Here is a 14,437-nt window from a genome sequence, read left to right as displayed (position 1 = left end):
GCCAGGCAGGACAGGAGAGGGCCTGGCGTGGAGATGGGGCTGGCTGCCTTGGTGGAATCATATTCGGGGTCTGGTATGCACTCAGCTGTTTCTTATGCAGGAACGGTGGCACCATGCTTCCTTGTGGGGGTCACAGCCACAAGCTCTCACCAAGGAAACACTTGCACCTCAGGTGGGACATGTGGCCGTCAACTGAGTGGGCTTCACGAGTAGACCTCACGGCCTCACACGAAGGCAGCAAAGCAGTGGCCACTGCCCTTGAGTTCTGCACCCTCCTCCAGAAGGCCCAGGAGCATCTGTTGGGGCGGGGCGGGGGGCCTGCCCCTCACCGGGTGTCCCCTGGACCTGTTGCCAGGAATACGGTCCATGCCTCCCCTCCTGGTGGTCTCATCTCGGGCTGGGAGGAGGGGAGGCCCCTACACCAGGAGCCTCCAGCTCCTCTTTGGCAAGGCTGGCTGCCCCAGTTCTGTGACCCCAGGGTGAGATTCCCACTAACCTCATTGCGGGCTGCCTGCTGTCCGTGCCAGGGCGGGTTCTGTTCCCGCCGCTGTGTCAGCACCTGGCCTGGACAATGTTGGGCTTCAAGAAAAAGCAGACACCGAGAGGCTGGGGACCCAGCCAGGTGTCCTGATCCTGTCATCGGGGCTGGGCTGGGTAGGTGTGAGGCTGCCAGGTGGTGGAGTGGGGGTGTTCCCTCCCTGCCCCCCCAGGGTGAGGACTGCATGCTTACCCAGGTGGGCATGGGGTCTGGAGCAGGTCTTGGCTGTCTGGGAGGAGTCAGAAAACCTGCAGCTGAGGGTCCCACGTGTCGTGTGTAATTAGGGCCTTCTGCCCCAATTGCCTCCAGGTGGGTGGATGCTGCTCAGCCCCCGCAGGGCATGTGGTCTGTCCTGGGCTGGCTGGGCTCCCAGTGCAAGCTGGGTTTTGTGTTTTCTTAGCATTAACGCAGAAGAGATTTTCCCGCAGGCTGGCTAACCCTAACCCTAACCCTGGCCTTTTACATTCGGGTGTGGCTGGAGTTCAGCTCCAGGTCTCAGGCGAGTGCTGGGGCAGGCTGCAGTCTAGGCAGGCCCGGCCTGGCACGGCCCTCGCTCTGGCTGGTAAGATTTCTCCCCACAAGGTCTCTACCTCGGCCTCTGCACCAAACTCCCCTGGGCTCGTGTGCTCAGCTCCTTGCGGCTGTTCTGCCACGTGGGGCTACACCTAGGGACCCTGTCACCCCCAGGGGGTATCCTGAGCTGGCCACAGAGGGTGGAGCCGCTTGTGTGCACACAGGTGTGTGTGGGGAGTGGGGAGGAGGCTGCATGTGGCCACGGGTGTAGCCCAGAAGCAATCTGCCCCCAGGGGTGTGGCCAGACAGCAGCTGAGGCCTCCCTCAGTCTTCCTCCCGGGCAGACCACGGTGGGCTTCCCTGAGCCCAAGTCCCCTGCAGTCCCTGCAGTGAGGTGTCGCCTTCCCTAGTGGTGCTGGGTCTGCATGCCCGCAAGGATTCCTGCGTCTTTGTCAGAGATGGGGGTGGGGCAGCAGGGCCCCTCTTTCCTGCCAGGCAGGGTGTGCCGTGAGTGATCTGGGCGAAAGCGGGCCACACAGAGGACCCCGGCAGCCTGAGACCATGGCATCGCCACCAGACACCCCGTGGCTCACCTGGGACAGCGTCTGGAGCCCAGCCTGGCCTGTGCCGGCTTTAAAGGAAGGGCAGATTCAGGAGAGCAGGAAGGAAACGGGAGGGGCTGGATGAGCTGGTTGCTGGGTCGAGCCCACGTTGCCCCCTCCACTGCTGCCTCTGAGAAGGATTAACGCGGCCTTGAGAACATCTCCAGCTCACGCTGGCCTCAGTCCCAGGGAAGCCGAGATGTCTGAAGAAAGGGAGCTGGTGGCTGGGTTCTCTGGGCTCTTGGCTCCACACTTCACCTGAGTTCTCTTTGTTTCTCCAGAAGCTGATGGAACTGCCGCCATTTCCCAAAGTAAAGGAGGTGAGCTCTGGGGTGGGTGAGGTTTCATCGGTAGCCCGGCCTCCGTGGATCGCTGCATGAGCCGGGAAGGTAAGCCGAGCGGTAGGACGTCCGACGGTGAGTGAAGATGCTGGTTCTGTGAAGGGAACGGTGGGCCCCTTTAATCTCAGTGTCCGAGTCCTGCCTGCCAGTGACAATGGGACGTTTGACAAGGTCTCTTAGACTTTATGGAAGCATCATGTGATCAGAATTCTGTGTGAGGGGACGGGCATCCCTGGCTTAAGAATATTTTATTGTTGATGCAAATGAAAGAACAAAGAGAGGCGTTAGAATTACAACATTTTCTAGAAAACGGTACCCGATTCTGCCAGCACTTACTGAGCACTGGGCGGCCTCTAAGCATGGGCGATACCGCAGGGACTGAAGCCTGAGGGCACACACGGACAGAGTCTGTGTGTGTGGCGTCTGCACAGCGTGCTGTGGAGCACAGGAGGAGGATGGGGGGCTGGCAAAGCGTTCCCTGGGGCGATGCTCAGGTGAGCAGCTGGTGCCTCCATTGAAGGGGTGATTCACTTTTTTCCCCTTGCTTGCCAGAAGTCGAGTAATAATAATTATATTTTCTAAACTTCTGAAAAGTTGCAGACACATCATAAACATCCTTAGATACACAAGGATTATTGGGAAAAACATCATTAGTTATTTAATGCTTATTGGTTAATACGTGAAGACAAAGACCTAAAGAAGGCAGATGAGGCGGGGATGAGGCTGGGCGCGGTGGCTCACGCCTGTAATCCCAGCACTTTGGGAGGCCGAGATGGGTGGATCACGAAGTCAGCAGATCGAGACCATCTTGGCCAACATGGTGAAACCCTGTCTCTACTAAAAATACAAAAATTAGCCAGATGTGGTGGCACGTGCCTGTGATCCCAGCTACTCAGGAGGCTGAGGCAGGAGAATTGCTTGAACCTGGGAGGCGGAGGTTGCAGTGAGCCAAGATTGTGCCATTGCACTCCAGCCTGCGCAACAGAGCGAGATTCTGTCTCAAATTAAAAAAAAAAAAAAAAAGAAGATGGCAGATGACTCCCACTCCTAGCTGCAGTACGTTCTGGAAGTGAGAATACATTTAAGTCTCATCCTCTTGCCACATGTGCCAGCTGTTGGTTCACCTCTGCCACAGACAGAGACAACAGTCACCAAGAATCATGAAAACTACCAGGGCCACAGGAAGCTGGTGGCAGGCACCTTCTGCAGTTCCGGAATCAGCAGCCCCTCCTGTGGCTCCGGCGGGCCGTTGCTGTGGCTGTGGCCTTGCTGTCTGCCTCTGGTTATGCTCCCCCAGTATCTGCTGCAAACAAAACCCAGCCCCATCTCCCCATGCAAATGGGCCCAGACACACAAAGCAGCCTGTGGCTTGGGAAGTGCTGACAGGAGCATGGCTTCTGGGCTGTCACTCTGGTCTTGTCCTCGCCTTTCTTTCTAACCCTCTGGATAACCAAGTGGAAAATGGAAATGAGGGAGGTGTTCCTTGGCTGTCGCCGTGGGTATGTGTTTGTCTGTGTTTGACAGTGACATCCCTAGGGAAGAATTCTCATGTACTCATGAAAAGGGGGTCGCAGGAGGTGCTTCACTGTCTAAAATCCTTTCCAGTTGTTGCTAAGTGTTTACAAATAAAAGTGACCAGCAGTAGGAAAAGGGCATACTGTGGTTTTCCCAAAGAGTGCCATAATTCTTCTTGCATTGCTGATCCAAATTGTAATTCAGAAATCCAGCTAGAGCTGGGAGCATGGCATAAAATAACACTATTTTGAATTTTAATTATATCTTTTATCTAATAATTCAAACACATTAGTATTCTCAATTCATTTTTGTCACATGCACTGAGATAAATATCATCATCACCACCATCATCATCACTATCATCACCATCACTATCACCATCAGCATCACCATCACCACCACCACCATCACCCTCATCCCCATCATCACCATCACCATTACCATCAGCACCATCAGCACCATCACCACCATCATCATCATCATCACCATCACCATATCACTATCACCATCATCATCATAACCAACATCATCACCATCATCACCACCACCATGATTACCATCATCATCACTATCACTATCACCATCACTGACACCAACACCACCATCACCACCATCTCCATCATCACCATCACCATCATCATCACCACTACCAACATCATCATGATCACTATCACCACTGTTAAGTTAGCCTAAAGTTGCCTCTTTTCTTATTTGAAAAGTTTCTCTCTACATAGTGCACTGTAACCTAACTGGATCTGTAAACAGACTGTAACCTACTCTTGTGCCAATCACCAAGTTTTGGCCAATCAAAGATGGCCCACTGTTCAAACTGTGTTCAAATAAGGGAAATGCAGAGCTGTAACCAATCTGGCAGTTTCGGTACCTCACCCCTGCATTCTATGCCTCATTTTCCTTTTTCTGTCCATAAACCATCTTGACCACGTGGCTATGCTGGAGTCTTTCTGAAGGTTCTGAGCTGCCTGGTTCATGAAGTGTTCTTTGCTGAATTAAACTCTGTTCAATTTAATTTGTCTAAGGTTTTCCTTTTACCACCACCACCATCAAAAGATCTCTGTGAAGATCCTGAGCGCACAATGCCCTCTATCATGAAAAACACAAAGAGAACTGCGGAGATGTGCCTGTTCACTCTGACTGGGTACTAGAGGATGATGACAAGACAACACATTTTTAGGGCACGAAATAAAAAGATTAGAAAAAGAGGGGTAACTTCAGGGAAATACACTTTTGTGTTTGAAGAGGAAAGAGCATGAATCTTGAGTGCACAATGCGAAGCTCTCAAAGCACACAGCCGAGCACCTGCGCGAGGAAGCCTGATGCCACCGGGAGCTGGTCCCTTCCCCGGAGTGTCACCGTGTGCCCCTGTCTCCCACCTGGAGCAGCCTGATTTCTGATGTTGCAGATCAGTTTTTTCTGATTTTGAACTTTCTGTAGACAGAATCGAACAATATGATCCGTGTGCCTCTGGTCTCTTCCTCGCTGTTTCCTATGTGTGATTTACACTTGTTGCTGCCTGCAAATGTGAATTCTCACTGTTGCCTGTGTGTGATTTATGCATGTTCCCACCAGCAGGTGTGGATTCTCGCTGTTTCCTGTGTGTGATTTACGCGTGTTCCTGCCTGCAGGTGTAGGCGTGGATTCTCACTGTTTCGTCTGTATGATTTGCGTGTGTTCCCACCTGCAGGTGTGGATTCTCACTGTTTCCTGTGTGTGATTTGTGTGTGTTCCTGCCTGCAAGTATAGGCATGGATTCTTGCTGCTTCCTGTTGTGTGATTTCCACGTGTTCCTGCCTGCAGGTGTGGATTCTTCCTGTTTCCTGGGTGTGATTTCTGCGTGTTCCCGCCAACAGGTGTGGATTCTCACTGTTTCCTGTGTGTGATTTCCGCATGTTCCCACCTGCAGGTGTGGATGCTCACTGTTTCCTGTGTGTGATTTCCACGTGTTCCTGCCTGCAGGTGTACGTGTGGATTCTCGCTGTTTCCTGTGTGTGATTTGTGCGTGTTCCCGCCTGCAGGTGTGGATTCTCACTGTTTCCTGGGTGAGATTTGTGCGTGTTCCTGCCTGCAGGTGTGGATTCTGTTTCCTGGGTATGATTTCCATGTGTTCCCGCTAGCAGGTGTGGATTCTTGCTGTTTCCTGTGTGTGATTTGTGCGTGTTCCTGCCTGTGGGTGTAGGTGTGGATTCTCACTGTGGAGGATACAGAAGGCATCCCTCTACTATTGATGGGCATCCATGTGGCTTCCAGCAGGTTTTGGCTGTGAGGAGGGCAGCACTCCCAGGAAAATTCCTGTGAGCATGGTTTCTAGGTGTGGAGCTGCTGGACCGCAGGGTGTCCATTTACTAAAGGTTCAGTTGTAGTGGAGACTAGAAAGGAGCTCCAAAGCAATGGCAGTGACCCACAGTCCCATGAGTGATGAGAGCTCCAGCTTCTCTAAGTCCTTGCCAGCAATGGGTGCATGAGCAGCTTTTACAGAATATGACAGCAGCAGCCCTGACAGCATGGACAATCGTGGAACAGGAAAAGGAGTTCTTCGTACCCATCCTAGCAGAGCCTTTGGACCATGAGCATAATAAAGGACAAACTCCTTAAAGACAGAAGCGTCATCTGGCCCTTTTCTGAGTTCCCAGCTCTTCGCACAGTGCCTTTCAAGCTAGACCATCAACAAGTACTTGTTGGTGTCTTACTCAGGGGTCCATGGGAGTGTGGAGAGCAGTCCCTAATCAATCCGTGTTACTGGGTGAGGTCTTTGCTACAGGAGTTGTGGAGCTGGGCGTGGAGGTCTGGGAGGAAAGCTGGGGACAGACACGGTGCTTCCAGCCAGGATGAGAATCCAAGGTGTCCCCAGCTCTCAGGTGAAGCAGGAGCTCAAGGGAAGCCTGAGGGAGGCTGTGCTCTGTGTGGCTGTGGCCTCCGCAGTTTTCAGCCAAAGCTCTGTTGGTGAGCCTAGGGCACCGCTGGGAAGAGGAGCTGGAGGCTGCGAGGGACAGTGAGGCCCACGGGAACCTGTGGGGTGCTCTGCCCTGCCCTGCTGGAGGGTCTCGACTGCCGCCCCACGTCTGCCTGCAGATTCCATGCAAAATTACTCTTTCACCACCCTCCCAGCTGACCCAGTTGACCCAAAACAAGCCACCACGTCCACCCAGTGCTGACCTGTGCCCCACGCACCTCTTTGTGTGTGTTTGAAGAGGATAGCAAAACTGTGCTCCAACCAAACTTCCTGTCAATCAACCATAAACACGCTGCCTCTCCCGGTGCCAGCGCAGTGGCCCAGGTGTCCATGTTTAGTGGGCGTCAATGTCCCTCCCAGCGGGGCACACTCCTCTCCAGAGCCTGCAACATTGGTACTGGGACATACGCGTGATCACTTCGGAGGCCTCTTACGTTAGAGAATTAGGTGAGTGGGGTGGGGACGAAGACCATCGGTAAACACCTCGCAAATGTATTCCTGTCAAAGTGCAGAGGAAGTGCCTACAGCTGCACCATCCCTCCATGGGCTGGCGTTCTAACTTCTCCACGCTTTCCTCCAAGAGCCAGAGCGAACATGTGTGTTCAGTTAATCTTTCATGTCTTTCAACTTTAACACCATCTAGATTTCTGACATTCTGGAAAAATCTCTCTGCTTGTTTTTAAAGCTCATTTACTCACAGTGCTGTTATATTCATTCTAAAATTCAAAGCATAATTTGAATTTTTAAGTTTCAACAAATGTATCCTTAATTTCCTGTATTTCTAATTGGTTCTTACTCATAACTTTCCATTCCTGAGTCGCAGATACTGCATGTTCCTTTTGGCTCTCTGAGGCTATTGCTTACACTTTAAATGTTCTGTTTCGGTGGTGCTATTAGCTCAGTTTTCTCAAGTGCAAATTCTTTGGTAATCTTGTCTTCATGGCGTTGATGCTTCAGACGTCTGACTATATTTGACTGTGGGGTCGTCTTTGAGGTAGTTATTCCCCCGTACACAGCCTGCCAGAAAAGTCACCTTTTGGGGCTTGAGTTCTGGGTTATCCCAGGGAGAGTGGGAGATGAGTGGCCTCTGACCTCTGAACCTTGCTCTCTGGGCTGGCTCAGGCCTCCCCAGCACATCTCTGGCGCGGCCTCCTCTCCCTGGCCCAATTGCTGCTCTGCCTGGTCCTGACCCCTCTGCCAGCTTCCCAGCCTGGGTAAGGGGATCGGTAGCAGTTGGAAAGCCAGCCCCTTCTACTGGGACCTGGGGAACTCCCGTGTGCTCTCCAGGATGCACCTGCCTGCCTTCCTCCCTGGCGTGGAACTCCTGGAGTGGCTGTGTGCTCCCATGAGCCAGTCCAGGAGTGGGCGAATATTGGAACGGCAGCTGCATCTTTAATGGAACCTGTCCGGGTTTCCTGAGAGCTGCTGATTCTCAGAGAATTCCTGTTCTTTGTTTTTCCAGATGCCTCTCCATATGTTTACTATTTTTTCCTATCATTTCACAGTTTGATGTGCATATGGGGAAAGACTTCAGCATATGCTCAGCTTGCAATCTTAAGAGTGAATGCATTTCTATTCTTTCAAAATGTGATTAATAAGTTATATTCTATAAAGTGGAGCATGCCTTTTTAAATGGCTTTACTATTGTACAAATTCTGTTTATTTTGGAGGTATTGGTTCTTACAGCCATCAATAAAGACACCAATTATGTACTAACATATATAAGTCCCCGGAAGGAGACAAATTTATATTATGTTAGCAAATTGACTGTAAAATCCTCTTTTTCTGGAAAGATGATCTTCTTTTGGGAGGAAAACACAGATCTCCTAGAGAGAGTTTCCTCATAGCTGATATGTCTGAGGACGCCTGCCTAGATTTGCATTTCCTGACATTTTCCTGTAGTTGTGTGTCATGCATTTTAATCTAGTGACTCTAGCAGTTTGGTTGCTTAATGGATTTAGTAATAGGAGTTTTTTAAATAACACACAATCAGATGAAACACAATGCCAACATATCAACTGGTGCCAAGCACAAATATTTGTTTAGTGAACGAGCAAGACACATGTGGGAAGCGTGCGCTGCCTGATCCCAGGGTGCTGTTCAGACGCCGCCTCTCGCTCGGCCTCTAATCTAGGCTGTTCAGACGCCACCTCTCGCTCGGCTGCTAATCTAGGTTGGAAGATTGGTGTTCAAGGGAAGAAAGCCTCTGGTGCCTTTGTTCACTCGTTAAACAGACGGGCATCACGTGTCAGTTCCATGCCTGGCACCGTGCTGCGTGCTGGGGTCACCTTTGCCCCACCCCGCAAGCTTGGTTCCAAGGAGAGCAGCTGATGCAGGGTGGGGTTGGGTGCTGGATGGGGCTGGGGAGGACAGCTGGGTGGCCCTGTCCTGGGTCATGTGCTGGATGGGGCTGCAAGACTCTCCAGAACCCATTCAGGGCCTGGCCGGCTTCCGGGCTGCTTGGAGGAGGCGCTCATATTACAAACCTACAAGGATGGGGCGCGGGGGTGCCTGCCTCAGGCAGTGTGGACCCCACGCGAGTGTACCGGCCTAAGCAAACCTGCATGGGCCCAGCCAGGGAAGCCCCACGCCATCAGCTACTGAACACCAGCTCCAGCTCGCTGGGTTCCTGAGGGCACAGGATCCTAGCCGTGCCAGTCACCTTTACCAGGAAATGTGTCATTTTGCCTGTGGCAGCCCAAATGGGTCCTAGACGAAGGCACCCTGTCTTCTCGTTTGCAGACCTCTGCTGTGCACAGTCATCTGAATCTCCCTCCCCACACATGCACAGCAGGAAAACAAGAGGCTACATGATTTTAGACCTGGAAAGGACCCCACTCTGCAATCCTGCTACACTTGGGAGAGAAGAAACGAGACAGAAAACAGGCCCAGAGAGGCCTGGGCTGCCCTGCCCGTGGCCAACATGGCCCTGGCAGAGCCCGGCACCCTCCTGCCTACCCAGAATTCTTTCTCCTGCATCCAGTGAAGGGGCAGAGCCCCAGGAGCCTGTGCCTGCTGAGTAACGGTGGGAAGATTGTATTCATACACCTGCAAAGGCGACGCCCGCCAGCCTCAGGACGCGCCAGAGAGAAGTCCAGCCGTGTGTGTGACACAGAGGGCTGTGTGGCTCAGGCCTGGATGCCCCGGTCGCCTCTGGTCAGGCACTCACTCTTCTTTGAGCACAGACAGACCTGGGATGCGGTGTTGAACAAGTCGACAGTCAACGAAAGCCACGGCTTTGCGAAGTACATTCCAACTTATTAGGTGCTAGTAAGAAACAAACAGCAGCTTCTGGGCGGGGGCCCACTTCCTGGGTGCTGGGGTCACTTGGCCCCACCCGGCCAGCTCAGGGTCAGGGGTCCCGTGTGAGGTGGCAATGCGTCCAGTGAGAGAACTCGAAGAAAGGAGCTGGCCCCACAGCGCCAGGGAGGAGCAGATGGCAGCAGCCGCCGTGCAAAGGCCCCAGGCCAGAGCTCCAGCTGAGGCCTGAGCCCCGAGCCCCAGAGGCTGCCTCAGTGCATCCATGAGCCAAGGGCATGGGTAGTGGGCCTGGGGGCGCGGGTGGGTCTCAGCACCTTGGGGGCAGCTGCAGCTCTGGATTTTGTTCTAGAAGTAGCGACAAACAGCAGCGCAGATCTCACAAGGAGAGTGGCGTGATCTGTGGTGCGCCTGAAAGGTCGCTCTCGTTTTCTGTCCCTAGGACTCCCTGGGGCTGCCTCCCCCTCCAGCGTCTCTCTGGGGAGGCACAGCAGCCATAAGGTCCAGGGGTGTGGGTGCTGCAGGAAACCTTCAAGAGGACCATGTCCGTGGCCTAGAGAGGGTGGTGGCTGTGGGACTCAGAGCTGAAACCGGCCGCCTGGGCTCTGTCCAAGAGGCAGGCAGCGAGGAGGGCCCCGTTCCCCCTGGATGCCTCCCGACCGGCTGCCCCTCCCCCCGCCGACTGCCCCTCCCCCCGCCGACTGCCCCTCCCCCGCTGCCGGCTGCCCCTCCCCCGCCGACTGCCCCTCCCCCCACAGGCCGCCCCTCCCCCGCCGACTGCCCCTCCCCCGCTGCCGGCTGCCCCTCTGCCATCTGAGGCGGAATTGCGCTCCTTGCTTTTCCTACGTCGCCCATCTTGCACGGCGCTCTCAGATGTTTTCATCTTCAACGTGCTCACCACCCAGCGTCGGGCGAGGCTCCTTCGCCTTGAGAGGTGAAACCCGCACCCTCTCATGTGAATACGTGGCTGTCGGGTGGGCCACAGTGGCCCTCTGAACTCTGGGGTCCCGGCCGTCTGGCCCCACTCCAGCTGTCGAGGGCGGGGACCGACGCTCCGCACGCGGGAATCGCGGTGCGTGGAAACCTAACGCCGCGTTTGTGCCCCGTCGTGCGCAGCCCCCTCTCACTTCCTTCACCTTAAGCCCTGTGATTAAGTCCTTGTAGCGCCTTTGATCAGCAGTAATAGCTGTTTACAGCCGGCCAGGCTGGGCGGCTGTGCTGAGTGGGCGGCCCCGCCTCCGGAGCCAGCTGCCCCGCTGCGTGCCCGGGAACAGGGAGACATGGTTTTATTAGAACCGACACGTTTTCCTCATTTCTCCATTTTCCTTCCCCCGCGCCCTCCTTCCCGGCCCGCTCCTCTTCCCAACTCCACACGTTTGGGGGGCTCAGGGCGGAAGGAGGCCTCGGGCAGGAGTGTCCGGCCACTCTGGGCAGCATCAGCAGCCTCCAGCGCCCCCAAGAAACATGCTGGGGACGCACCAGGGTCGAGCCCTGCCGGGGGCGGACACAGAACTCATGGGCAGCCCCGCCTGGAAGCCATGGCCTCCCTGCCCTCTGTGGGTCCCCCCGGCTCCCAGAGTCTCCGTCCCTGGCCGCTGTGCGCCGCCCCCACCCCTCCCGTCCTTCCCAGGCGCCCCCGCCCTTCCAGGGCCCCCCTGAGTCCGGGACGGGGCTGAGCTGGGGAGGAGCCCTGCGGAGGGGGCAGGCCTCAGGCCGCGAGGCTCAGGCCCCGCAGGGCCCACGCCGGGCAGGGCAGCGGTTTTCTTTGAAATTGGAAGGTTGCCCCGTTGTCCTGCTGAGTCCTGTCCAGGGGGCTCCTTTCGACCTTGAGAAGCGAGCAGCAGCTGCCGACACTTACGAGTGAGGCAAGCCGCGGCGGGAGCAGGACCCCTTCCATTTTCCTGCCGTCTCGTTTTAAATTTGGTTTCAGAAAAGGGTCGTTAGGGGCTGTTTGTGTAGTGGGATGGCTTCGTCTGTGGGAACTCCTGAGAAGGGCCTCGTTCACAAGGAGCTGCCCGCCCCTCTGAGCCACAGCCCGGTGCTGCTTCAGAGCTCAGGGGGGCTGCGTTCTCCCTCCAGGGGCCGAGCCCAGAATCCTCTCCGCTCCCAAGCCGGCTGGGGGGCTCTGTAGCCGCAGAGTGAGGGAGTGGGAAGAGTCCCCCGAAGTTCTCCTTGGGAGGCCCCCGGCCCTGTGGCGACAGGACGCTGTTTCAGCAGGGCAGGGGCGGGGGCGGGGGCGGGGGCTGCCCGGGGCGCAGACCTCGGCTGCAGGGAGAGCTCTGGACCTCCGGGGGCACCAGGAGGAGCCACGTTCCTGCCAAATGGGGTCCCTCGGGGTCAGCCCCCCCAGCCTGCGGGGCTCCGTGGGCCTCCAGCACTGCACACGTGTCACTGGGGTGCGCGACGGGCCCTTCCCTGAGCCCCTTTCCATGGAGCCCAGGCCCCAACGGCGGCAGCTGCCCCTGCCTGACATCCGGACCCAGCCTCACCTCTCCTTTCACAGCGAGCCCTGCTGGCACTGGGGGCCTGCATTCCAGTTTTCCTCCCCAGCTGTGGGATGCTGTTGGCGCCTTGGTGCCAGCCGCTGAGGTGAGCAGGTGGGTGAGGGGCTCCGTGAAGCTCTGGCATCTGGTGTCCGGCCCAGGACTTGGGGGTGCTGGCCTCGCCGCCTGGCCGGGTCATACATAAGGGGTCGGTCAGCTCTGCCCCAGGCCAGGATGCTGCTGGGCCCACAGCCGCCCCAGGACCCCCTCAGCCCAGGTGCCCTCCCTCAGTGCTCAGTTCCGGGGATGACTGTGTCCCCCACCCCGTCACGCTGCTCAGCGAGCACCCTGTAATCCCATATGGTAACTCATGAATCTACCCACTAAGAAACCACAACATGTGATTCCTCGAGGGAGGCTGGGGGGTAGTCGCGGAGTCGTGGCTGGGCCCAGCCGCGGACTCAGGTCTGTGATGGGCTAACCTGTGCCCCCACATCCGCAGGTGGGCGGCCTGACCCTAGACTCAGAGCGTGACTTCTTTGGAGACAGGGTCATTGAAGGTGTGTGTGACGATGAGGCCACGGGGTCACCCCTGACCAGTGTGACCAGTGTCCTTATAAAAGGGGCGTGGACCCAGGCGGGCCTAGAGGGATGGTGGCACAGAGGCAGGAGAAAATGCCCACCAAAGCCCAGGAGGAGGCCTGGGACAGGCCCTTCCCGGCGCCTTCAGAGGGAGCCTGGCCCTGCCAGATGCCTGGTCTCACGTCGGCCTCCAGGACTGCGAGACCTTCCTGCTGTGTGGGTGCCCAGTGCCAGCACTTGCTAAGGGTCCCCAGCCCCAGGAAAGCAGTGCCGTCCCCTGAGCCAAGTGGACCTCTCTCTGCTTCTGTGGCTTCTCTATATTTAGTTATCATGTTTCAAAGGCTTATCAAATCCCTGGGCATAAAACGTTTTACGAATCTGTCTAAATAACGTTCCAAGGTGTCTCATACTCGACGGAATCTTGGACGGTGCTGCCCCTTGCAGGTGGCTGGGACTGCCTGGGTACAGCCTCTCCTTGGTTTTCAGCTTGGCTCTGCCTTCACCCCACATGGGGTTCCGTCTGGCCCTAGCGGGGAGGGTGCTTGGCTCGGGCAGTGGGCTGGGCGGCCCCTGGCCCAGGACGGCTCTGGAGAATAAGGAGGCCACCACAGGCCGGTAGGCCTGAGACCTCTGCCCCTTCTGAGGCCGCGGGGTTGAGCAGCTGAGCAGCTGACTCTCCCATGGTCAGTGAGGGCTCAGCATTTTCTCTTCTGGTTGAAATAGAAACTGGGAAGTTGGAGGCCAAGATTGAGGGGCAGGCGGAGGTGGTTCTCCTGCCAAGCTTCCTAAACGGCAGAAGCAGCAGAAGCAGCTAGGGTTAGTGTTGGCTTCTCTCTCTCTCTCTCTCTCTCTCTCTCTCTCTCTCTCTGTGTCTCTCTGTCTCTCTCTGTCTCTCTCTCTCTGTGTCTCTCTCTCTCTGTCTCTGTCTCTCTGTCTCTCGGTCTCTCTGTCTCTGTCTCTCTGTCTCTGTCTCTCTCTCTCTGTCTCTCTCTCTCTCTCTCTCATTTATTTCTAGAGCATTTACAAATTAATTTTCCTGGTCTAAACCGGGAGGGGCTGCCATGATAAAATGAAGCTGTTTGGTGTTCCATGTCGATCTCCCTGAGACAATGCACTCCTGAGCCTGCTGGGCCCTGCCTCACAGCTGAGTCCTGGTCAGGGCCCTGCCCCTTCTTCCTCTCCCTTGGCCCTGGTTCCACAGAGACCTATTTCTCCAGGGCATCCAGGAAGCACCTACGGTGATGGGGGATTGCATTTCAGCAGCAATCCATGTGTGAACATTAAAACGATCTCCTTAAATATTCATGGTGACCATGACCTCATCTGGCTGCCTCGGGCCAGGGCTGGGTGCAGGTCAGGGAAGGGGGCTCAGGCCCTGAGACCCCAGCCTGGTCCCCAGCAATACAGCTCCCCTCTGTCCTCTCCTCTCTGAGTCAACCCCTCCTGAGAGCTCCGATGTCTCCTCTCTGGGGTGGCAGAGGTGGGGGCTGCTTTCCAAGCAAAGAAATGCTCTGGGGCCACGTGGGAATAAATATTTCATGGGAGAGCAGACCTAGCCAGTAAAAAATTAAGCAGCTTTACATCATCAGAGAGAGAAAGAAAGGGTTGCCTCATGTTATGAGTCTGCTGGTGTCCTT

The 14,437-nt window shown here is 55.7% G+C and overlaps 2 annotated features.

Annotated features, from left to right (window-relative positions):
- Positions 1,510 to 2,084: an enhancer, noted in NCBI's record as "H3K27ac-H3K4me1 hESC enhancer chr6:170500920-170501494 (GRCh37/hg19 assembly coordinates)". NCBI's record gives its function as "activates a minimal SCP1, AML or CMV promoter by ChIP-STARR-seq in naive H9 embryonic stem cells {active_cell/tissue: H9 hESC(naive)}" and the evidence as "EXISTENCE:reporter gene assay evidence [ECO:0000049][PMID:30033119]".
- Positions 6,697 to 6,904: a silencer, noted in NCBI's record as "fragment chr6:170496100-170496307 (GRCh37/hg19 assembly coordinates)". NCBI's record gives its function as "represses an EF-1alpha promoter that drives an FKBP-Casp9 reporter gene in an ReSE screen in K562 erythroleukemia cells {active_cell/tissue: K562}" and the evidence as "EXISTENCE:reporter gene assay evidence [ECO:0000049][PMID:32094911]".

The sequence above is a fragment of the Homo sapiens genome, chromosome 6 (genome assembly GCF_000001405.40).
Source record: "Homo sapiens chromosome 6, GRCh38.p14 Primary Assembly".
NCBI classification, from domain to species: domain Eukaryota; kingdom Metazoa; phylum Chordata; class Mammalia; order Primates; family Hominidae; genus Homo; species Homo sapiens.
This window is presented reverse-complemented; position numbering and strand designations above follow the sequence as displayed.